The following is a 26,785-nucleotide window of genomic DNA, read 5'->3' on the forward strand; positions in this document are numbered from 1 at the left end:
CATCTGTACATCACCATCATCAAAGACCAAAAGTAGATAAAACCACAAAGATGGGGAAAAAACAGAACAGAAAAACTGGAAACTCTAAAACGCAGAGCGCCTCTCCTCCTCCAAAGGAACGCAGTTCCTCACCAGCAATGGAACAAAGCTGGATGGAGAATGATTTTGACGAGCTGAGAGAAGAAGGCTTCAGACGATCAAATTACTCTGAGCTACGGGAGGACATTCAAACCAAAGGCAAAGAAGTTGAAAACTTTGAAAAAAATTTAGAAGAATGTATAACTAGAATAACCAATACAGAGAAGTGCTTAAAGGAGCTGATGGAGCTGAAAACCAAGGCTCGAGAACTAAGTGAAGAATGCAGAAGCCTCAGGAGCCGATGCGATCAACTGGAAGAAAGGGTATCAGCAATGGAAGATGAAATGAATGAAATGAAGCGAGAAGGGAAGTTTAGAGAAAAAAGAATAAAAAGAAATGAGCAAAGCCTCCAAGAAATATGGGACTATGTGAAAAGACCAAATCTACGTCTGATTGGTGTACCTGAAAGTGATGCGGAGAATGGAACCAAGTTGGAAAACACTCTGCAGGATATTATCCAGGAGAACTTCCCCAATCTAGCAAGGCAGGCCAACGTTCAGATTCAGGAAATACAGAGAACGCCACAAAGATACTCCTCGAGAAGAGCAACTCCAAGACACATAATTGTCAGATTCACCAAAGTTGAAATGAAGGAAAAAATGTTAAGGGCAGCCAGAGAGAAAGGTCGGGTTACCCTCAAAGGGAAGCCCATCAGACTAACAGCTGATCTCTCGGCAGAAACCCTACAAGCCAGAAGAGAGTGGGGGCCAATATTCAACATTCTTAAAGAAAAGAATTTTCAACCCAGAATTTCATATCCAGCCAAACTAAGCTTCATAAGTGAAGGAGAAATAAAATACTTTACAGACAAGCAAATGCTGACCGATTTTGTCACCACCAGGCCTGCCCTAAAAGAGCTCCTGAAGGAAGCGCTAAACATGGAAAGGAACAACCGGTACCAGCCGCTGCAAAATCATGCCAAAATGTAAAGACCATCGAGACTAGGAAGAAACTGCATCAACTAATGAACAAAATAACCAGCTAACATCATAATGACAGGATCAAATTCACACATAACAATATTAACTTTAAATGTAAATGGACTAAATTCTCCAATTAAAAGACACAGACTGGCAAGTTGGATAAAGAGTCAAGACCCATCAGTGTGCTGTATTCAGGAAACCCATCTCATGTGCAGAGACACACATAGGCTCAAAATAAAAGGATGGAGGAAGATCTACCAAGCAAATGGAAAACAAAAAAATGCAGGGGTTGCAATCCTAGTCTCTGATAAAACAGACTTTAAACCAACAAAGATCAAAAGAGACAAAGAAGGCCATTACATAATGGTAAAGGGATCAATTCAACAAGAGGAGCTAACTATCCTAAATATATATGCACCCAATACAGGAGCACCCAGATTCATAAAGCAAGTCCTGAGTGACCTACAAAGAGACTTAGACTCCCACGCATTAATAATGGGAGACTTTAACACCCCACTGTCAACATTAGACAGATCAACGAGACAGAAAGTCAACAAGGATACCCAGGAATTGAACTCAGCTCTGCACCAAGCGGACCTAATAGACATCTACAGAACTCTCCACCCCAAATCAACAGAATATACATTTTTTTCAGCACCACACCACACCTATTCCAAAATTGACCACATAGTTGGAAGTAAAGCTCTCCTCAGCAAATGTAAAAGAACAGAAATTATAACAAACTGTCTCTCAGACCACAGTGCAATCAAACTAGAACTCAGGATTAAGAATCTCACTCAAAGCCGCTCAACTACATGGAAACTGAACAACCTGCTCCTGAATGACTACTGGGTACATAACGAAATGAAGGCAGAAATAAAGATGTTCTTTGAAACCAACGAGAACAAAGACACAACATACCAGAATCTCTGGGACGCATTCAAAGCAGTGTGTAGAGGGAAATTTATAGCACTAAATGCGCACAAGAGAAAGCAGGAAAGATCCAAAATTGACACCCTAACATCACAATTAAAAGAACTAGAAAAGCAAGAGCAAACACATTCAAAAGCTAGCAGAAGGCATGAAATAACTAAAATCAGAGCAGAACTGAAGGAAATAGAGACACAAAAAACCCTTCAAAAAATCAATGAATCCAGGAGCTGGTTTTTTGAAAGGATCAACAAAATTGATAGACTGCTAGCAAGACTAATAAAGAAAAAAAGAGAGAAGAATCAAATAGACACAATAAAAAATGATAAAGGGGATATCACCACTGATCCCACAGAAATACAAACTACCATCAGAGAATACTACAAACACCTCTACGCAAATAAACTAGAAAATCTAGAAGAAATGGATAACTTCCTCGACACATACACCCTCCCAAGACTAAACCAGGAAGAAGTTGAATCTCTGAATAGACCAATAACAGGAGCTGAAATTGGGGCAATAATCAATAGTTTACCAACCAAAAAGAGTCCAGGACCAGATGGATTCACAGCCGAATTCTACCAGAGGTACACAGAGGAACTGGTACCATTCCTTCTGAAACTATTCCAATCAATAGAAAAAGAGGGAATCCTCCCTAACTCATTTTATGAGGCCAGCATCATTCTGATACCAAAGCCGGGCAGAGACACAACCAAAAAAGAGAATTTTAGACCAATATCCTTGATGAACATTGATGCAAAAATCCTCAATAAAATACTGGCAAACCGAATCCAGCAGCACATCAAAAAGCTTATCCACCATGACCAAGTGGGCTTCATCCCTGGGATGCAAGGCTGGTTCAATATACGCAAATCAATAAATGTAATCCAGCATATAAACAGAGCCAAAGACAAAAACCACATGATTATCTCAATAGATGCAGAAAAAGCCTTTGACAAAATTCAACAACCCTTCATGCTAAAAACTCTCAATAAATTAGGTATTGATGGGACGTATTTCAAAATAATAAGAGCTATCTATGACAAACCCACAGCCAATATCATACTGAATGGGCAAAAACTGGAAGCATTCCCTTTGAAAACTGGCACAAGACAGGGATGCCCTCTCTCACCGCTCCTATTCAACATAGTGTTGGAAGTTCTGGCCAGGGCAATCAGGCAGGAGAAGGAAATAAAGAATATTCAATTAGGAAAAGAGGAAGTCAAATTGTCCCTGTTTGCAGACGACATGATTGTTTATCTAGAAAACCCCATCATCTCAGCCCAAAATCTCCTTAAGCTGATAAGCAACTTCAGCAAAGTCTCAGGATACAAAATCAATGTACAAAAATCACAAGCATTCCTATACACCAACAACAGACAAACAGAGAGCCAAATCATGAGTGAACTCCCATTCACAATTGCTTCAAAGAGAATAAAATACCTAGGAATGCAACTCACAAGGGATGTGAAGGACCTCTTCAAGGAGAACTACAAACCACTGCTCAAGGAAATAAAAGAGGATACAAACAAATGGAAGAACATTCCATGCTCATGGATAGGAAGAATCAATATCGTGAAAATGGCCATACTGCCCAAGGTAATTTACAGATTCAATGCCATCCCCATCAAGCTACCAATGACTTTCTTCACAGAATTGGAAAAAACTACTTTAAAGTTCATATGGAACCAAAAAAGAGCCCGCATCGCCAAGTCAATCCTAAGCCAAAAGAACAAAGCTGGAGGCATCACACTACCTGACTTCAAACTATACTACAAGGCTACAGTAACCAAAACAGCATGGTACTGGTACCAAAACAGAGATATAGATCAATGGAACAGAACAGAGCCCTCAGAAATAACGCCGCTTACCTACAACTATCTGATCTTTGACAAACCTTAGAAAAACAAGCAATGGGGAAAGGATTCCCTATTTAATAAATGGTGCTGGGAAAACTGGCTAGCCATATGTAGAAAGCTGAAACTGGATCCCTTCCTTACATCTTATACAAAAATCAATTCAAGATGGATTAAAGATTTAAACGTTAGACCTAAAACCATAAAAACCCTAGAAGAAAACCTAGGCGTTACCATTCAGGACATAGGCGTGGGCAAGGACTTCATGTCCAAAACACCAAAAGCAATGGCAACAAAAGCCAAAATTGACAAATGGGATCTAATTAAACTAAAGAGCTTCTGCACAGCAAAAGAAACTACCATCAGAGTGAACAGGCAACCTACAACATGGGAGAAAATTTTCGCAACCTACTCATCTGACAAAGGGCTAATATCCAGAATCTACAATGAACTCAAACAAATTTACAAGAAAAAAACAAACAACCCCATCAAAAAGTGGGCAAAGGACATGAACAGACACTTCTCAAAAGAAGACATTTATGCAGCCACAAAACACATGAAAAAATGCTCATCATCAGTGGCCATCAGAGAAATGCAAATCAAAACCACTATGAGATATCATCTCACACCAGTTAGAATGGCAATCATTAAAAAGTCAGGAAACAACAGCTGCTGGAGAGGATGTGGAGAAATAGGAACACTTTTACACTGTTGGTGGGACTGTAAACTAGTTCAACCATTGTGGAAGTCAGTGTGGCGATTCCTCAGGGATCTAGAACTAGAAATACCATTTGACCCAGCCATCCCATTACTGGGTATATACCCAAATGACTATAAATCATGCTGCTATAAAGACACATGCACACGTATGTTTATTGCGGCATTATTCAGAATAGCAAAGACTTGGAACCAACCCAAATGTCCAACAATGATAGACTGGATTAAGAAAATGTGGCACATATACACCATGGAATACTATGCAGACATAAAAAATGATGAGTTCATGTCCTTTGTAGGGACATGGATGAAATTGGAAACCATCATTCTCAGTAAACTATCGCAAGATCAAAAAACCAAACACTGCATATTCTCACTCATAGGTGGGAATTGAACAATGAGATCACATGGACACAGGAAGGGGAATATCACACTCTGGGGACTGTGGTGGGGAGGGGGGAGGGGGGAGGGATAGCATTGGGAGATATACCTAATGCTAGATGATGAGTTAGTGGGTGCAGCGCACCAGCATGGCACATGTATACATATGTAACTAACCTGCACAATGTGCACATGTACCCTAAAACTTAAAGTATAATTAAAAACAAAAACAAAAACAAAAACAAAACAGAAAGAGAAATTCCAGAGCACAAAGAACTTTGTCCACCTTTATAAACAGCTACATAATTATTTTTCTACTTTTCTACGATAAGAAAATTAGCATTTAAAATGCAAGTAGTTTCAAACATATGCTTTCATTATATGTATAACAAGAATGAATTTAAATCTTCAGAATGATAGAGATCCACTGTCATATCCAAAAAGAAACAGAAGTTTGCACTTCAAGAGTAGTTCATTAGGAAACAGCTCTAAAGTCCTACTATAAATCAAACTTAGAATACAAGGCTGGATATGATCTTAGAGATTATCTACTCCAATTTCTTATTTTATAGATAAACTTAGCTCCAGAGAGGTTAAGTGACTTAACAAGGTCATAAAGTTACTTAAAAAGTCAGGAAAAAACTTGGGTTTCCTGATTGCTGTCTGCATATAAGCAGCTTTCACAAATGCTCTACTCAAACTACACTACAGTAGTGGGTTTACTGTGCTCTTCAGACCCTGGGAACAGTAAAGGTGGGTCATTAGAAACCACAGGCCCCTCCTCCATGGAAAACTCACCTTCAGTATTAGAAATGGGGGTACTGTCACATTTGCTTTCACACTGCTGCATTGATGGAGGCCGAACAGTTTCTAGACAGTCACTAGATGCCTGTCCGGTGTAGGAGAGACACTGCACAGTTCTCATCTGCTGTCCAAGGCCACACTGAGCAGAACACTAAATCCAAAGACACAAAGAAACAAAATATTAATCTCAACAATTTTCAGGAGGTAAAAAATATACTATGTCATTTCAAATACAACACAATATGAACTTTTTTTTTTTTCTTTTGAGACACAGCGTCTTGCTATGTTGGCCAGGCTGGTCTCGAACCTGACCTCAAGCAATCCTCCTGCCTTGGCCTCCCAAAGTGCTGGGATTACAGGCATGAGCCACCACGCCCAGCCACAATATTAATTTTTTTTTTTTTTGAGACAGAGTCTCGCTCTGTCGCTCAGGCTGGAGTGCAGTGGCACAATCTCAACCCACTGCAAGCTCTGCCTCCCGGGTTCACACCATTCTCCTGCCTCAGCCTCCCGAGTAGCTGGGACTACAGGCACCCGCCACCACATCCGGCTAATTTTTTGTATTTTTAGTAGAGACGGGGTTTCACCATCTTAGCCAGCATGGTCTCAATCTCCTGACCTCGTGATCTGCCCGCCTCAGCCTCCCAAAATCCTGGGATTACAGGTGTGAGCCATCGCGCCTGGCCACAATATTAACTTTTAAAGCCCACATGTGGTTCATTTTTGAGAGGTGTATGATTAGGTCATTCTACTATCAAACTGGTTTGGAAAGTCAAAGATCATGTTATTACCCTAGCAAACAGACTCAATATACTTCCCAGAAGATAATACATAGAGATTTCTTGCTATCACTCCAACAATTCCCGGCAAGGCTGGTGAACTCTAGCAGGAGTGTCATGAGAAAATCCTTGTGATGAAGTAGAATAATGAGAGATTGTAGGGCTAGGAAATCACTATTGCTCCCTATTTATTATAGGTGTGCAGGTAAATAACCTGATGGCTTATTGGAGTGTCCTGTATGTGATTAAACTATTAGTTCAGTGTAATAGCAGTGACAGGCGTGGAGCCTGGTGATGGGGTCATTTAAAAAAAAAAAGAGCTTAAATAAGTCCCTCAGGTTTTCTAAGGGATTGCCAGCCACACAAACCTGAGAAGTAGTCTGTGTTCTCAAATGAGCGTGTCTCCCTCTCCTTTTGCATCTACTCTGGGATTCAGTCACTTCAGAACTGAAGTTACTGTCCGAGAGGCTTAGTTTCACTTGGGACTGATCAGCTGCTGAGGCTGAAGAATGAAGCTGGGTTAATCTATGGGCCTGCCATCGAGAATACCAGAAAGCCTATGAAATTTGGAATCAAAGGCATGAGGAAGTAACTGGTGCCAACACAGGGGATGGTGATGTTTACAGGGTCAACACATTGAAGCCCTGTTGGATTTGTTTGCAAAAACTCTGAAAGCACCCACAGGACTTGTAAGGATATTCATGAAGAGCCTTAAAAATATATATATTTTTGGCCAGGCGCGGTGGCTCACACCTGTAATCCCAGCACTTTGGGAGGCCGAGGCGGGCGGATCACGAGGTCAGGAGATCGAGACCATCCTGGCTAAGATGGTGAGTCCCTGTCTCTACTAAAAATACAAAAAATTAGCTGGGCGTAGTGGCAGGCACCTGTAGTCCCAGCTACTCGGGAGGCTGAGGCAGGAGGATGGCCTGAACCCAGGAGGCAGAGCTTGCAGTGAGCCGAGATCGCGCCACTGCACTCCAGCCTGAGCGACAGAGTGAGACTCCATCTCAAAAGAAAAAAAAAAAAGAGTAATTATCTCTATTTTGCAAGTGGGAAAATGAAGACACTGCTGTTAACTGATTTGTTCCTTTTCAGTTGACAGCTGGGACTAGAATCCAAAGTTTTGGTAGCTTGTTCAGATCTCTATCGGTTATTCTATTTCTCTTTTAATTTTAACCACAATGGATCTGAAGAATAGAATCTGAAGTGGGAAGTGTGTGGGTGTGGGAGAATCACTGGCTCACTCTGTATGTGTCCACATGTGGTGGCTGTGGTTTGTGCACTGTTTCACACTCATGCCTCATACTTAGACTTCTACGTGTTAATTCTTACTCATCTCTCAAGCCCTTACAATGATCACACAAGGAACCTCAGGTTTGTGTCTCAAGGTGCTATTTCAGCAGGAGCCCACAGTACAAACGCCTTACCTGGCCCCAGTCTCCTGTGACCCAGCGAGGAGGAGGGCAGCGGCCCAAACTGCAGCGGATGCGGACAGGAGGTTTGCTTTCCTCTGGACATTGTGCAGCTGGGAATGTCTTAGAAAGGTCACTGCTCTTGCACAGAACAATCCGATGCTTGAATCCTGGACCACATTTTGGAGTACACTGGAAATAAAACAAATAGTAATGAATCACGACAGTTTAAAGACAGAGGAAAATTTGAAGAAAGTCTTTCTTCATGTAAATGTGTGTTTTAGTATAGAATATACACATATACTAAGTTCTAGGCAAAGTCTCTCAGATACAACGTTCCTTAAAAGTTTTGAAGCAGAGGTACTTTTATCTTTTTCTTAAGGTCTTGAAGAGCTAAATCCAACATTTGCTTTTCTTGGCTAACTCATTTTCTTGCTCTATTGGGGATAGGTTGATTCCTCTATTCCTCTCTATCCTTAGCCCCGTCAGCTGTGATAAGATTCTGCTAATTTTTGGAATGTGGAAACCTTCGTTTCCTACTTGGTGGGTGTGGTCTTCTAAAAGGAATTTGTATGTTATTAGTAGACCAAAAGAACTTGTGTCTGTGAAGCAAGTTCAGGGTTGATTTAGATAAACTATTCTTATGTCGGGTCGCTAAGAATACTTGGTCACAGGTGAAGGTTTCTTGCACAGAAAATCTCTGGACTTTTCCCCATCCATCAGTTACAAATCTAAGGAAGTTGTTCTTTAGAACTGGGTCTGTTTGTTCGTCATACTGAGGGAAGGATGTTTTTCCCTATGTCACAAATCTTATGTACCTCATCTCCAGGTGTTTCTAGAAGTCACCTATTTAACATGGTAGCTGACTTGAGTCTTCCAGCTTTCTCCCCTGTATGTCTGGACCCTTCCTTAAAATATGTAATTCAGGCCAGGCACGGCAGCTTACGCCTGTAATCCCAGCACTTTGGGAGGCCGAGGTGGGCAGATCAAGAGGTCAAGAGATCAAGACCATCCTGGCCAACATGGTGAAACCCTGTCTCTACTAAAAATACAAAAATTAGCTGGGTGTGGTGGTGTGTGTCTGTAGCCCCAGCTACTTGGGAGGCTGAGGCAGGAGAAGTGCTTGAACCAGGAGGCGGAGGTTGCAGTGAGCCGAGATTGCACCACTGCACTCCAGCCTAGAGACAGAGCAAGATTCTGTCTCAAAAAAAAAAAAAAATCTATACTTCCTTCCCCTCAATCAAGTGAGGACCTTACCCACAACATCTGGAAGCACTGTATATATACCTTTCATACGAGAAACATTTCCAGATCTCCTACAGGAACTACACTAGACTGGAGAGATATAAAAATGAATGAAATAGGAGCTCGGCTGTTGGAGACGTGAGTCTTGCTGAAGCTCCTGGCCGAATAAAGCCCTTCCTTCTTTAACTCGGTGTCTGAGGGGTTTTGCCCGTGGCTTGTTCTGCTACATTTCTTGGTTCCCTGACCGGGAAGCGAGGTGATTAACAGACAGTCGGACGGTCGAGGCAGCCCCTTAGGTGGCTTAGGCCTGCCCTGTGGAGCATCCCTATGGGGCACTCCAGCCAGCTTGGCCGATGCGGATCCTGAGAGCACTCCTGGGTAGGCAATTGGCCTGGTGGAACGCCTCGCCAGAGGAGCACGTGGCAGGCCCCCGTGGACGATCAACGCAGTGGCTGAACACCGGGAAGGAACTGGCACTTGGAGTCTGGACATCTGAAACTTGGTAAGACTAGTCTTTGGAACTTGCCCACTCCATTTGAGTGGAAGCGTGGCCTGATCACCCACGGTCTGCCTGTACCGGCACTTTGGTTTTTGTTTTTGACTTGACTTGGATTGCTTGATACTTTGGTTTTGTTTTTGACCTGGCTTGGATTTCTGGATACTCTGATTTTGGTTTTGATTCTGAGTTTGGTGTAAACTGTAAAAGTGTGTGTGTGTGCCCTTTTTACTCGTTCTTTGTTTTGTGGTGTGAGCATGGTGTTTTGTCTCGAAGAAGCATGGGTCAGGCACAAAGTAAGCCCACCCCACTAGGAACTATGTTGAAAAATTTCAAGGAAGGATTTAAGGGAGATTATGGTGTTACTATGACACCAGGAAAACTTAGAACTTTGTGTGAAATAGACTGGCCAGCATTAGAGGTGGGTTGGCCATCAGAAGGAAGCCTGGACAGGTCCCTTGTTTCAAAGGTATGGCACAAGGTAACCTGTAAGCCAGGGCACCCAGATGAGTTCCCATACATAGACCCTTGGTTACAGCTGGTTTTAGACCCCACACCCCCCTCACCAGTGGTTGAGAGAACAGCAGCATAAGTGGCTGGCAGAGACAAGGAAAGACCAGCAGAGAGAGACAGAGGAGGAAAGAGAGAGAAAAAGGGGCAAAGAGAGAGAGAGGAAGAGACAGAGAGACAAAGAGGGAGTCAAGGAGAGAGAGAGAGAGAGAGAAAGAGAGAGGCAGAGAGGCAGAAAGAGACAGAGGCAAAAGCAAAGTCAAAAAGAGAGAGACAGAAAGTCAAAGAGAGAAAGAAAGAGAGAAAGAGAGAAATATACCAGAAGTTAAGGAAAAAAAAACAGTGTACCCTATTCCTTTAAAAGCCAAGGTAAATTTAAAACCTATAATTGATAATTAAAGGTATTCTCCGTAACCCTGTAACACTCTAATACCACTTTGTTGTCAGTGTAAACAAGGGCGTATTCCCGAAAGCACTGAGGACTTCCTATCAAAAATCCTTAACCCAGTAACCTGTGGATGGCCCAGAAGCATTCAATCTGTAGGCAACTGCTTTGCTAACAGAAGAAAGTAAAAAAAATAACTTTTAGAGGAAACCTCATTGTGAGCACATCTCACCAGTTCAGAAGTATCCTAAGGAAAAAAAAAAAAGGATGATTTAACATTAACCACTGAAAATTCCCTTAACCCAGCAGGTTTCCTTACAGGGGATCTAAATCTTAATTACCATACAAAGGTCTGACCAGACCTAGGAGGAACTCCCTTCAGGACAGGACAATCGATGGTTCCTCCCAGGTAATTGAAGGAAAAAAAAAAAAAACATCTATACCAATTCTAAGTTAATTTGGACTGAACAAGGTCTTATTAATAGCAAAGGATAATTGAAATCCCAAACTTAAAAGGTTTTCAACAAAAGTAAAGTTTGCTAAAAGTTAACAGTGTAACATGTATTATGGTAACTTCTAATCCTGTGGCCTTAAGACAGTCTAGTCCACAGACATAAAAGAAGTTCGCTTTGGAAAAGAATGGTTATCATCTTCGGAAAAAAAAGGGAAAAAAAGGGGGGGGCAGAATTTATGTAAAAAGAGTGTTATATGGGAAGTTCTTGTCCTGAAATAAATTAACTGGTTATTTAAAGAAATAAATGTTTGTAATAAGTCAGAAAGTTGAGGCATGTCGAAAAATTGTCTGCGAAAGTCGTGAAAGAAAAAAATGTTATTAAAAAAAGAATTTATGCAAGAAATGTTGTATAATTTAAAAGTAACTAGGCCTCCTGAATGTAAAACAAAACAGTTTATGTGCAAGTTGTATAAGGAAAGTAAAATATACCTTTGGTAAAAGGATTATAAGGAGGCATAACAATGTAAATTTTTACCTACATTAAAAGGTTAAAAAGTATATATTGTTTTGAAGATTTAAGCAAGTTTTAAAACGTTAATTGTAAAGAAAATTCTGTGTGTAAACATATTGGCTAAAGTTAAAGGGGTATCATCCAGTTTTTCTGTGAACTGGACATTAAAGTAAAAACACAATGGGTTTTTCTTAAAGCACTAACCTGCTCTTTAACAAAGATTATAAAAGGTTAAAAAGAGTCTATAAAAATCTTACCTTATGGTCTGACATTAAAAATTGAATAAATGTCTACAAAGTTTATTAAAACTAAGTTTAACATTAATAGCACAGTAATAGCACAGTAAAAGGTGAAATTTAGCTTATCTGGTATAAAAATCATACAGGAAGCACTGTCAGATATAAAATGGTGTTTGGCTTCTTTGGTCTAAAAACTAATAAAAATAGGTGCTAAAGGAAATTTCTCAGTAGGAAGGCACCAAGGACAATAAAGTCCACTGCTGATGTCCCCACATTTAAAACAAAAGGTCAATTTCTTAGAAATTATATACTTGGTTTATCTTCCACTTTCCTTTCCCTCAAAACTAAAAGTCTTTTAGCACAGGTACCACCCCTAGAATTTCCAGTAAACCAGCACCAGCCTGAAGATCACCTTCTCATCAAAGGGTGGAAAGAAGAAAAACTCAAGCCAGCCTCAGAAGGACCCTACCTTGTGCTGTTAACCACTGAGACTGCCGTTCGTAGAGCGGAAAAGGGATGGACTCATCACACCCGAGTCAAAGCGCCCCCACCTCCAGAGTCGTGGGCCACAGTCCCAGGGGAAAACCTTATCAAACTAAAGCTAAGAAAAATTTAACTCTTTCATCTATTCTATTACTCTTTCTTCTTCCCTCGCTCTATTGCTGACCATCTAGTTATTAACATAACCAAGTCAATTTCGCCTCAAACTATTGCATTTAATGCTTGCCTTGTTATACCCTGTGGGGACCTGCCAAGTCAAAGACAGCTCTCTACTTCAGAAAAGTACCTCTGTCCCTCCTGACTCTTCTCAGACTGGGCATTAGTAAATTAGGACCATTTAATCCAGGGAAATTTTGATAAAGACCCTAGTGTCAACCAGGATTCTTGCCCCCCAATGTAGAGCTTTTATGCTGTAGTTGGTCCAACATTCTGTGGACCACTAAAGAGCAAGGATGGACTGCCCCAACCAGTTTTTGTAATTTCCTAAAATCGTACATTCATTTTACTCGAGGATCATAAAAGTTAAAGACTTAAAACAAACTTTGGCAATTAAAACAGGATACCAAGATGCAAATGCCTGGTTGGAGTCGATCAAATATTCCATCTGCACGTTAAACAAAAGCAATTATTATGCTTGTGCACATGGCAGGCCAGAGGCCCAGACTGTCCCCTTTCCACTAAGGTGGTCCTCCAGTCGACCAGGCGTGGGCTGCATGGTAGCTCTCTTCCAGGATTCCACAACCTGGAGTAATAAGTCGTGCCAAGCTCTCTCTGCTATATCCCAATGTCCAGCACCTTGCAGGTCAGTCCCCGAGGGCCATCCAGCCTCCCTCTTCCAACACTAAGTTCACTTCGTGTCTCTCACGACAGGGAGGAAACTTAGCTTCCTTGGAGACCTGAAGGGATGCAGTGAGCTTAAGAATTGTCAAGAGCTTATCAATCAGTCAGCTCTTGTTCATCCCCGAGCGGATGTGTGATGGTATTGTGGTGGACCTTTACTGGGCACTCTGCTGAATAACTGGAGTGGCACTTGTATTTTAGTCCAATTAGCTATCCCTTTCACCCTGACATTTCATCAATCAGAGGGAGGAAAAATAAGACATCGTGCGAGAAAGCCCCTTATGGGTCTTTCAACTCTCACGTCTATTTAGACGCAATTGGAGTCCCACGGGGAATACCACATCAATTTAAAGCTTGAAATCAAATAGAGGCAGGATTTGAGTCAATATTTTGGTGGGTGACAGTTAATAAAAATGTAGATTGGATAAACTACATCTATTATAACCAATAGCAACAAGCTTTTCATGAGTTAAAAGAAAAACTCATGTCGGCCCCAGCCCTGGGGCTACCTGAACTGTCAAAACCCTTTACACCCTATGTGTCAGAAAGAGAAAAAAATGGCAGCTGGAGTTTTAACCCAAACTGTGGGGCCCTGGCCAAGGCCAGTGGCCTATCTCTCAAAACAACTAGATGGGGTTTCCAAAGCCTGGCCCCATGTCTAAGGGCCCTGGCAGCAATGGTCCTGTTAGCACAAGAAGCAGATAAACTAACCCTTGGGCAAAACCTGAATATAAAGGCCCCCCATACTGTGGTAACTTTAATGACTATCAAAGGACATCATTGGTTAACAAATGCCAGATTAACCAAGTACCAAAGCTTGCTATATGAAAATCCCCGCATAACCACTGAAGTTTGCAACACCCTAAACCCCACCACCTTGCTCCCGGTATCAGAGAGCCCAGTTGAACATAACTGTGTAGAGGTGTTGGACTCAGTTTATTCTAGCAGGCTCAACCTCCGAGACCATCCTTGAACATCAGTAGACTGTGAGCTGTACGTGGACGGGAGCTTCGCTAACGCCTACAAAGTGACTCTGAAAAGGATGACAAGCCCTGCTCCAGTCACACCCGGAAGCTGACTGGTCCACGCATGGCCGAAGCATGAGAAAACTCATCACGGGACTCATTTTCCTTAAAATTTGGACTTGTACAGTAAGGACTTCAACTGACCTTCCTCAGACTGAGGACTGTTTCCAGTGTATACATCAAGTCACTGAGGTAGGACAAAAAGTTGCTACAGTCCTATTATTTTATGGTTATTATAAGTGTACCAGGACTCTAAAAAGAACTTGTTTGTATAATACTATTCTATACAAGGTATGTAGCCCAGGAAATGACCAACCTGATGTGTGTTATGACCCATCTGAGCCTCCCATGACCATAGTTTGTGAAATAAGATTAAGGACTGAGGACTGGTGGGGGCTCATAAATGATACAAGTAAGGTGTTAGCCAAAACAAAAGAAAAAGGGGTGCCCAAACAAGTCACCTTGAAGTTTGATACCTGTGCTGTCATTAATAGTAATAACTTAGGAATAGGATGTGGTTCTCTTAATTAGGAAAGAGGCTATATGGCAGAAAATAAGTACATTTGTCATGAATTAGGACTGTGTGGAAATGAATGCGGATACTGGTCTTTTGTCATTTAGGCTACTTGGATAAAAAATAAAAAGAATCCTGTCCACCTTCAGAAAAAAAAAATGAATGAAATAGTCTCTACCCTCAAGGAGCTCAGAGTCTTATTTAGGAGACAGACATGGAAACACAGATTAATGTTAAAAGTACCATATAAGTGGATGTAGAACACATAAATTATCGTGTCCCTAACACCATCAGCCTGTTTTATAATTATGTATTTACATGTCTTTTCATCTCTATTAGATTATAAGCTCCTTAAAATTACTCCATTTGTTTCATCTTTGCATGCTTGTGTGCATGCAAACACACACATGTGCACGCACGCGCACACACACACACACACACACACATCCCCCAGGAGCCAGCTGAGGACTCTGAGTAAACACTTGATAAATATATGCTCTTCTTTATCTGGAAAGGTGACAATTTTGATTTACCATTAGGTAAATCAAGATGTACTAGTTGTGGATGAGGCTATCTAGGTGAACACCGTGCACATGTACACACATGGATTTTGTTAGGGGCAATCTTTGAGCCTGGAGTATGTCATAGAAAGACAGAAAAATATTAACAAATTTTTCAGATGAACATCAATGATTCAATGCAAACTCTTTATCACAATGAATATAATCACAGAATGCATTTCCTCCAACTTAGAAAAGGTTTCATTAAGATGCATTTTGAAAGGGGATAACACAATTTTTTCAGTGTAGCTCGAGAAGAGGCTTTAGTTAGGGAGTGAAGATCAAGAGAGAAATTCCTGATTCCTTTTATTCCTTTTCATAGCCAAATCAATATCCTCATAACCTGGTGCTGCCTCACTCTACCCCTACAATCCATCACTAGATCTTATTAATCCAACTCCAAAATCTGTCTCACACCTGTTGATTTCTCTCCATCTCTACTGCCACTAACCTTACTTCAGACAAACATCATTTCCCATATGAAATTTTGTAATGGCTTTCTAGTAGGTCTCCTGTTTCCTCCTCTTGCCTCACTCAAATCCACTCCCTAAACTTTAGTCAGAGGGATCTTTCTAAAGCACAAATCCAATTATACTGCATTTTGATTTAAAAAAAAAATCCCTTAATGGCTTACTATTGCCTTCAAGATAAAAATTCAAACTCTATATATGCTTAGTACCCCACAGTAGTAAGGCTCTACTTACCTCTTGAGGCTCATCTCTCTATATGTCAGCCATATAAAATAATTTCCAATATTCTCCAGTGCTAGCCCAGTGTCAGGCACAAAGCAAATAGTGTTGCTGTTGCAGCTACAGTAACTACTACTACTACTGCCACTAATAGCATCTGTCATTTAATAAATACTGTATATACCAAGTGTGCTAAATGCTATAATTTATATAGTCCTTACAACTCTCCTATGAGGTGGCAATTATTATTCTGTTTTTAAAATGAGAAAACAAACTTAGAGTGACTGGTAAAAAGTCACATATATATTAAATGGTGGAGCCATTCTAATACTAATTCTTACTAAGTGTTTTCTGGATGTCAGGCACTGTACTATGTACTTTATATGTATTGTCTAATTTAATACAACAATCACTTATATTTCAAGAAACCAAGGCATGCAATAATTTCTGTAGAATGAATAAAGACCTAATCCAAGTCTTTGAGCTTGCCTCACTTGTGTCGAGTCCATTTCTATCTCTTGAACTTGTTCCACTTGTTTTAATCCTCTTCGCTTCATGCCAAGTCTCCTCCACTGTTCAAACCAAAGACTTAAGAGGATTTCTGCCACTCTCTTAAAGCTTAATATTATCACTGGTAACAAAAACACTACTATACTACTTTACATTTCATTAAAGATGAACAGTTCAGAAAATATTTTCAAATATTAAACATTATTAAACAAATTTTTAAGAATTATTATAGATGAGGAAAGCTTAAGAGACTTCATTAAGGATAAACAGCAAATGGTAAAGCTGGAACTAAATCCTAGGCCTTGTGACCCATACTTTAGGGCCTACTCATTATCCATTTCTCTGTTATTATTGTATTCACAGGCTGCTCTTAGTATTGGCAGAAACAAACTCATGACAATACATAGTAAATATGAATTATTGTAAGAATAAGTTGAGGTGAAGTCCAAGAGGATACAAGGCCACTTCATCCACATGCTAGGCAAAAACATATAGGATGTATACGGAACTCAGTTTTTGTATTTCGAGGCTATGATTAGTTTTCTAACGGAAGCATTCATTGAAAAATGCACTTGTGCCACTCCCCTGCCTCCTTCACATTTTAAAATCATGTGTATGCATATTAAAGTCTGGGACATACATCTCTTGTTTATTCTAATAACTTTTTCCAGTGGCAAGAAGCTTCTGTTATTATTTTAAGAATGTAGTAGTATCTAGCTGCCTTTCCTAAAATCATATGCCAGGTCGTGCTTACAATTAGGGGAGATGAAGAATGCGAAGAAAGACAATTCATTCATCTCCATCTGAGAAGTCCCCAGGAAACCCAAACCAAAACCAAACCAGATATGACTGATAATAAGAAGGATAAGCCTGGGTGCGGTGGCTCACGCCTGTGAATCCCAGCACTTTGGGAGGCTGAGGTGGGTGGATCATGAGGTCAGGAGTTTGAGACCACAGCCTGGCCAACATAGCAAAACCCTGTCTCTACTAAAAATACAAAAAAAAATTAGCCAGGTGTGGTGGCACGTGCCTGTACTCCTAGCTATTTGGTAGGAAGAGAATTGCTTGAACCCAGGAGGCAGAGACTGCAGTGAATCGAGACCGTGCCACTACACTCCAGCCTGGGTGACAGAGCGAGACTCCATCTCAAAAAAAAAAAAAAAAAAAAAGAAGGATGAGAAGACATAGCAGCACAATATTTATTGTGTCAAGTAGTGTTCTAAATCCTTGGCATGTAATAATCTACCTAATCCTCATAGAAACTCCATGAAGTGAGTACTGTTACATATCCATTTTACAGGTGTGGAAACTGAAATGCTAAGAGGTAGAAACAAATCCTGATGGCAGTTTCCTACTAAAAATAAAGCTCTGAAAGATACATGCACAAAGACTAACCCTCTGTAGAACAATGTGCAGTTATGTGTAAAGCTAAACACATAATGACATTTACTTAGGCAAGAAATCATTTTAGAAAAATTACACCTCAAAATTCACCATTTTAGCCAAGGATATTTTATCTTATAGTAACAGAGGTACAGAGATTTTCAACCATATTTTCAAGAAAATGACTGAAAATCAACCAGATTTTCAAGACAGTGAATGACTGAAAACTACATTGCTGTCACATTTGTTACTCAGTGAATACACTACACCTGAACCCTGCAGATCCAGCCACAAATATTACATGTCTACAGCCAGAGTCTCAACTCTGTTCTCTGCAAATATTGTACTTCTTACAGGTGATTATAAAATTAAATGTTTAAAAATTGCTTGTAAAAATAGTAAAGGCACAGAAATGCCACTTTAACCTGGTTCATTTAAGTAGAACTCTAGCAAGTCCTTCTGACCTTATGTCAGAGATGTTCAAGCAGAGAAGTCCTCAGTTTGTTTTTATATTTACTTATTCCTTCTGCTTTCTTGAGCCTAAATTTCATTTTTCCCTCTTTACCCTACTGATAAATACAGAATCCCTTCCTTATCCACAGTTTCATTTTCCAGTTTCAGTTGCCAACAATCAACTGAAGTCTGAAAATAGATGAGTACAGTATAGAAAGATATTTTGAAAGAGACGTTACATTCACGGAACTCTTTTTACAGTATGCTGTTATAATATTTTAATTTTATTATTATTATTGTTAATCTCTTATTGTGCCTAATTTATAAATTAAACTTTATTATAGGTTTGTATAGATAGGAAAAAAGTATATAGTATATATAAGGTTCAGTACTATCTGCAGTTTCAGGTATCGACTGGGGGTCTTGGAACATGTCCCCTGTGGATAAGGGGGGACTACTATCAATGTGTTTGTCCATCTGAAGTCCTCTGTTTTACTTAGCTATGTAAAAGATAAAAATAAAAATAAAAAAATAAAAATTTCTAGAAAAGCAAGATGAGCCACGGTTACGTATGTATAGACATGTATGTTATGTAATGTATAGACATTAATTTAATTATGAATGCTTCGGAGCAGTCTCCAGAGATAATCATTAGCCTATACCCATGCAAAGAGTATGTTTTTGCGTAACTTTTGAGTGTGCATTAAAATCTATTAGTAATAATTAGAAATTGGGATATTTAGTTCAATAATAATTTTTTTAGATCAAAGAATAGTTATAAACATCAAAATTCATCTCATTCTTTCTCATAATAAACCTTTAGGTAGCAGGGTAGAAGATATTATAAAATTTAGAAGACTAGTGGTCAGTCTATTCTTTAGTAAAATTATTTCTCATTATTTCTCCTTATGTGGGTAAATGCCTATTTTTTCCTCTTTATTCATATAATTAGAATCTCATGATCATTTAAAATCCGACCAGACCTTCTGTTTTTTGTTTTCATCTCAGTGACACAGGAGGTGACTTTTATGAGGGATGCATTTATGCTTCAGCTTAATGTTCCATGATTAAGAAGAAGCAAAAATATATTTTGCAGAAAAAGTATTTGAAACCAACCAGGGAAAACAATTTGGCCCTCACTTGTAAAGGACAGAAACATCAACATTTCGGGGTTACACTGAGTTCTCCCTGGAGAGATGGGTTTAAATTACTTAGTCAAAGGACCAGAGTAGAACCTAGGAGTATGCAAGGTGCTGACACAATTGTCTTATCAAACAAAACACAGTCCCTTGTAGGTAGATTTTCCCCATCTTCCGTAAGTAATGCTATCTAAACATACGTACTATAAAGTCAGTTGAGTAAGATGCCAGTTACCCACTTGTCCAAGAGTAAGTATAAGAAATGTATCTTTTTCAATGGGCATTATTCTATAGGAGTCAAATAAACCATTTTGATACATCAAAAGCATGGGTTAGGGCTGCTGGACCCCATCCACAGTATGCAGCAATGCTTTCAAGAGCTACTTGCCCAGTGAGGGCAAAAACAGAAAACTATGTAAAGTCCAAATAGCCTGGGTGATCCCAAGTATAGATTATAGGATATGCGAAAGCTGTGGCTTCATTAGTTCCAGAAAAGGCTGCTGATGAGCCATTTTCCGCCAAGGTAATTTAACTTTTTTTTTTTTCCTTTTGCCATAAGTACTGGGTGGGTTTCACTGACGCTGGCTTTACAACAATGGAAATTTTACACTACAGTAGCCGGCAGAGAAAAGGAAAGGGTCAAAGGGCAAATTCCTCTTGCTGCAATATGTTTTCACCAGTTGAACCTCACCCTTGTGATTAGCAGAGCTCAGACAGCTGAGAGTTGGAAGTGGGGAGGGGGCAGAAAGGGGAGGTTTTCATGGGTGTGTCAAAAAAATTGTGTGAAATATTTGCCAAAGGTTAACTGAAAGAGACTGAATACCGCCTGCTCTTCCGCTGGGACCTTCTCTTTTCATTAGTGGGAGGTGTTCCATTCCTTTGGGAAGAACAGGCTCCTTGTTCTCATTTTGTTCACAATAGCTACTCAGACATCTATTTAACGTTATTTATTCTTACTTATTGTTAACCCATCTAGGGAAGGAAAGAGATGGGCTGCCTGGTAAACTAAGGTAATGGAAGCGTGAGAGTAAACACACCCCACATACCCCCTTGGGGAAATAAACAGGAGTAACAGTATGGGGCAAAAACCATTTTTCCTCTTGAACAAGGGATGATGACAGTGGTAAAGATGGTGCTCAACTAGAAATTTTGAGACAGTAACAGCAGCAGTTTTCGACCTGTGCTTATCCCAGAATTGTTTCCTGTCTGTGGAAAGACAACAGCAGCTCCCTTGGACAATGCTTTATCTGAGGCAGTGGTCCCCACATGTGTACTCCAGCCCCTCAGCACCATTTCTTGCCCCTAAGCTTTGACTCAGCCATGTTAAAGAGTATTGCAGAAATGCGATTAAAAGTGTCCTCAGCTTAGATGTACATCTTCAGGCAGCCTCCAAAAATGCCTTAGAGCCTCTTAGAGCCATTTGAGTGAGTCACTTCAAAGACTGGATAGATAAGAATCAAAATTCTAATAGAGGGGTAAGATCAACCTATGTGAAGTTGAATTCTGAAGGAAACTTTAAAATAGAATTTGGAATGGAAGCATATCAGTTAATATACACAAGCTATCTCTCAAGGTGACTATATGTGGTTGTTTTATTTAAAAACATATAATGATACAGAATAGTGTAGGTCAGAAGATCAGTGTGAAATGAGGCTTACATGAAGTTTTGATATTTTAGTGGTTGGCAGCAACTTCTTCTAGAAATTTCTCAGAAGGCATTCCTTCTGCTTATGAAGGGTGATATAGTATAGAGTTCTGTATTCTAACCTTCCTAGTACCTATCACTATCAGTCTTTCATTTATTCTTAAAAACAAACCCTTTTCTCTCACACTGCTTTCATTATCCACTCTTTGTGTTTCTGTTTAGCCATTTCTCTTTTCAGGCATCCTTTCTCTAGCTTCCCTATTCTCTTCCCTACTCCCAACTCTATACCCCTCCATATTCAGCTTAAATCCCATCAACTAAAAAGCCTTCTGATCCTACTCCAGGCTATTCTGCCCTTCTCAGCTCTGAATTTCCATATTAATTATACATTTATACCTCACAATCCACTGTTTTATTACACACTGCCTTATATGTATTATTCTCTAGTTGTTTCATGGGTATTTTTCATTTGCCCAAGCTTATGGGATTCTTTCATGTTACCCATGGTGCCTATCCCAGTATGTTTAGTAATCACTCAAACTTACTGACTTGACCTGAAGCCCTCAAACTGTGGCAGCCAATCATTAGGTCTCCTATTATGATTTTCCCATAACAAATTTCTCATACCAATGAATATTTATGGATTTCTATAAGGGTCCTGGGCACTAACATGTGTACAACTCTGCAGAATGTCTATTCTTTATCAATGGATTTTATCTTTCAAATCAATTAGGAGTTAATGTATCCCGTTAGGGAACAGGAGAGTCCATACTGTTTTCCATGACCACTGACAGAATAATACCAAGGATATCTCTACATATGATTGAAATATATAACTAAAAAATCTAACTTAGGTAGGCAGAATGTAATTACTGAAGCTGGACTATGGCTAGGAAACTTGGAAGAACACTCCCAATTCCTGCCAAAGATTCCATGGATAACCACAACTGGTCAGAATCTCCACTTCCATGTACCATCTTAAACACAGTGCTTCTTTCAGTCCTGTGCTCCAGCAAAATAAGGCCACTCAAGCAGTAAGATTCACAGGGGAATAGTAACATCCAAAGGTTCCTAAAGAACAACGTTTAATATTTTTGTTTGTATTTTGACAAATGTATGAGGTCTACAGGAAATACCCAAAGCAAGTACCACAATGTTTCTGGCAGGATATATTAGAACAGAGTCTGAGATGCATCCTGTTTTGCTAACTTGAAAGAAATATCTCTGGTTATATAGCAAGGTACTCATTCTTAACACTTAACACACACTACAGAAGGCTTCAGCCCTTCTTTGGGAGATGTGGAAAATTATATAGTATGCATACGTATCTGTCTCATGGATACTGAGGAGTCAAAAATTAACTACCTCTTACCTAATTTTTCATAAGATAATTTTTCTGAGTGGCTCTGGATTTTATTAGGTATTTTGTACACATCTATGCCAAGAAAACATTATCTTGGTCAGGTCTTCCTCATGTAAGTGAAGGGAATGATCAAGTCAAATTTGATGTTTTCCTATGTTATAACCTTCAGCTCCATGTTTCTTTCACAGTTGAAATAGAAGACATAAAATATATAGATAGGTCGTAAGTGATAATGAATTGATAACAATTCATACCTAAGAGTTACGTAATTAGGCTGCTACATTACTTGAAAAAAGATATTTTAAAAATTGTGCTTTCCAAATGAGATCCTAGAAAAGGTCATTCTAGGTCTTCAATAACTTTTGGGGTAAGAAAGGTTCTTGACTCTCCTTTTGAACTTCAATTTTTAATCATGTATCGCAAATTCTAAACTTGTGATGTGCTCAACAGTAAGAAGGAGAAAAACCACTTATAAGAGTACCCACTATAATGTTATTTCAAATTTACTTTAGACTTATTTTTAATCAAATTGATGACAAGTTTCTCGCTGATTTCCCTTACCCACCCAAAAACACCCCTTATTTCCTGACAAGCAGCAATAAAATATAACATGGTCACTGTTACACAGCCCTTACTTGTTGAGTTCTAAGATGTTCAGGTGTCCTTAATATTAACTGCTTTAGGATAGATAGTTAGGACATTTCAAAACATATACATATAGCCTCAGATTTCCTTACCTCAGACCAGTCCAAAGCCACCCACTGTGGTGGACATGACTGGTTGTTGCAGGGCTCTTTTTCGACAGGCCGGTGTGTTAAACAACCACTGTAGTCCAGCGTCTCCTCCTCAGAAGGTCCGATCTTCCTGATGCAGAGCACTGCCCTTGTGCGCATCCCACCATCACAAGTCTTGCTGCATTCCAACCAATCCCCAATGAACCACCTGCAGCAAGACATGGAAGAAACACAGAAAAGCATTTCCTCAGTGCATCCAGAGATTTTTAGCTAAGTGAAGGCACTTTCACTGATGGACTACGAGCTGACATTTCAATGTTGGTTAATAAGACAAATGGCAAATGAAAGAGCTGCTAAGGAAAAGACCTTTACTGTCATTTGCTTTCTAAAGTGTAGTGTGTGGACAGAACCCAGGTTCAAACAAGTGCACTATGTCTTTAAACCTCTTTTATTTTTCTCCTTTTTAATTACATTCTAAAATGAGGATAACAATGATCAATCTCATAAAAAATTGTCACGAGGGTTAAATAAGGTCATATATATAAAGCTCCCAGTGATGCGCTAATAAATGTTTAACCACTGGCTCCCTATGGCAGGGGGTGGGGGAGTTCTGATTTGTGGCATTTGCCAATTTTTGTAGTGTAAAAACCTCACTATGGCCAATTTCAAGCTACCAGCTTGATATACTAAAGGTGAACAGGAGAAGATATGCTAATAATAGGGTCCTATGAACCAATACTAGCTGGCTCCAGCACACCACTGAATGCTTCTAACATAGTGTCTGTCATATAACAAACAAGAAATAGTAGGTATTTTTATTATTATCACATTGAGGCAGGTTCTCCCATAATTAAAAATTTTATGCTAAAACCACTCTAAGGAAGCTGAGGATTTGTTTTTCAATTTCTAGAAATAAACCTCTATGAAGATAGGATGTGAATGTCCTTACAAGGACAGAGAAGACCAGGTATCCATCCTGAGAACATGGGAGTCTTAAAACACCTTCGGCAAGAGCAGAGCTCTGAGCTAGCTCTATGAAAACAGGCAGATCTCTTGTTTCAACCTTTTGGCTCCTAAAAACAGCTTCTACACAGCTAATGTGGAAAGAAATGCAAATGTCTTAGAAAAAAATAACATGTCTCACATTTGTAGGTATACTACACCTTTACCCTAAAGTCATAAACTTTCACATACATAATTTCAGGGGGTTTGTGGTTTGTTTTGTTTTTTTTGCAACACTTCTGCAGGATTCACTCTTCTGGACACATTAATTAGTCTAAGGGATGTAACTCATGATCTAAATCAGATCAATGAGAATTCTGGTTTAGAATTTTTATATCTCAACTGGAGCAAAAGGGACCCTTTCCTTTCTGGTCACAAAGGTGCATAAGATGATGAGTTCAGAGCTGCAGTGGCTGGGTTCCCTGTCAAGTGAAATTAGCTGATTTCAAAGAATGCACAGGAGCTAGAAAGCCTGGGTGGTGTGTGAGTCCTTGATTCCAGCCATTTCTCAAGCTAGGTTCCCCCTTACACTTCCCTCAGCTGTGTTACGTAAATCTTATGTGCTGAAGCCAGCTCAAGTTGAAGTTTTGTTATCTGAAACAAGGGTCTTGACTGACATATTGTATTTCATTTATTAAATATTTGCTGAATGTCTACTACGTTCAAGGCATTGTGCTTTGTTTTATAGAAGAAAGTAAGATCCAGTGTTAGGAAAACAGTTCTCCAAAATCGTGAAAAGAGCAATGATGGAATCAGGACTGGATTCCCCATTGATTGCTATTTCAATCGAAATTCATTTTAACATTGCTGAATAGTAAAATATAGGTTACAAGCACGGGATCACAAGACATTTTCTTCAATCCATAATTATAAATCATGCAGTTATTCTCAATGAACATGCTCATGCTTTTAGGTGGGAGACTCCCAAGAGAGAAGAATATGGAAAGCTTAAGAGCAAATTTCTCACTGTTTCTGTGAGCATAGCTCCATTGTGCCAGTTTTGTATACGGAAGATAATACTTTAGTGAAGTCAGAGTACTAGTATCCTAAATTTGAGACTGCATTAAGCCAACACTGGCCTTTGTTCATTATTATTCGTATTGTCTTTACTTATAAAGAAAACCAGCATTTAGAAATATAGTTAGCCAGTTTTTCAAATTTAAATTATATTTTATCAACATCTACAAATTTTCAGCCTAAAATTCATTTAAAGAATGATGATTTAATTTTGAATTTAAAAAATCTGACACAAACATTTTTTCTAAGTCATTTTCCAAGGGAGATTTAAAGTAATTTTCATATTCTTTCCTTTCTGTTTTCCACAGATGAACATGATCCCCAGTTGTTAGTACCATTTTTGGTAAGGAGGAAAATGTGTACTGAAAATAATACTTGCATGCCAGCCATAGTGAAACTCTGATTCAACTTTGCAACAGTGATTTCATCACCAAGATTAGGGGATAAAACAGAAATGTGTATTACAGTCACAAAAAGTTCAGTCACACAACCTCCAGCCATGATCTCATTAGTTCTCATAATGTAAGAGGGATGGAGGCCTTCAAATTAAACACAGGTGTCCCGAGTAACCACAATGATTCAGAAGTGTTGCAAAGGGTCAGGGACACCTCTGTCTTTTTATTCTTTGTCCCCTCTTCCATTCCATCTCTCCTCAGAAACTTAACCTAGATGTATCACTCTAGCCTTTAACTTGGAATATATGAAATCAGAAGTATTAATCACCCTCCCAATTTCCTTTCTGACTTTAACTCTCATTTCAGGCTTCACACTCAGTCCCTGTTGCATCTTTATTGCTCATCGTATCATCCCTTCCCATGTCTCTCTGAAGGATTAAATCACACCCTAGTTATTTAAACAGTTTTGCAATTCTACCACTGCATCTGCTTGTCTCAGTTTCTCCACTCTCCCATCTAGTTTAAGACATACTGCTTTCCCTTGTCTTCCTTCTCCACGTATTTGACCCTCTGATGGCATTCTTTCTCTGTCTTCTTTCCCTCCTCTAGACTTGGTGGCAAAAACATGAATACAGAAATTCTCTCTGGGAATATAAATTGCCGAATCGTTATAGCTGGAACAATTCTGGGGCTGTTTCTTTCTGAGCTTTTCCCAATACACAAATTGTCTTTATCTTCACAAGTCCTTCATAGCTATTAGACATTAACAATTAGTGGGATTCATGTTCGAGTGTCTGAAATAAGAGTGGCTTGCTGCAGCCTCTGTAATCTGACCTACAGTCCCGATCTCTTATTATTACAAAAAATAGTATAATTTGGAGAAGGGAATAAGAGAGACAGTATAAAAAATTTGCCCCAACCTTGGTAAACCAGAATATTTTTGAAGAAATAATCATCATAAAACCAGAATATTGTTTTTGCTTTTTAATTTAAAGGAAAATGGCAGAGCATATGAAAATAAACTGATATTAAATATTAGGATTAAGAGAGAGATTTCCTAGGCTTTGTCCCAGAGTCAAGGGTCTAATCATCAACTCTTTTTACAAACACAACATAGCAAAATTGTAAAAATCTTCAGAATTTGACAATAATATCTTTACTCAAAGAGAAATTCATTTATATAAATTATTGTCTACTTACAAAGATAAAAAACTTTCCTACATTTTAAATTA

The 26,785-nt window shown here is 39.3% G+C and overlaps 1 protein-coding gene across 11 annotated transcripts in view; it reads right to left on the reverse strand.

The window, feature by feature from the left end:
• Positions 1 to 26,785, reverse strand: part of ADAMTS6 (ADAM metallopeptidase with thrombospondin type 1 motif 6) — a 333,183-nt gene that overhangs the window by 16,136 nt on the left and 290,262 nt on the right. For 10 of the 11 annotated variants that reach the window (NR_135689.2, XM_011543117.3, NM_197941.4 and 7 more), the window contains 3 exons: positions 23,143 to 23,347; positions 7,959 to 8,135; positions 5,744 to 5,900 (listed from right to left, as the gene is read on the reverse strand). Coding sequence is in view for 9 of the 11 variants with exons in the window: in XM_011543117.3 (XP_011541419.1) it covers positions 5,744 to 5,900; positions 7,959 to 8,135; positions 23,143 to 23,347 (539 nt within the window). In the remaining 2 variants the exon portion in view is untranslated. Of the gene's footprint in view, positions 1 to 5,743; positions 5,901 to 7,958; positions 8,136 to 23,142; positions 23,348 to 26,785 lie in introns of those variants that run through there. The other variant, XR_007058575.1, reaches the window with a different exon arrangement.

Source organism: Homo sapiens, chromosome 5 (assembly GCF_000001405.40).
Source record: "Homo sapiens chromosome 5, GRCh38.p14 Primary Assembly".
Classification (NCBI taxonomy): domain Eukaryota; kingdom Metazoa; phylum Chordata; class Mammalia; order Primates; family Hominidae; genus Homo; species Homo sapiens.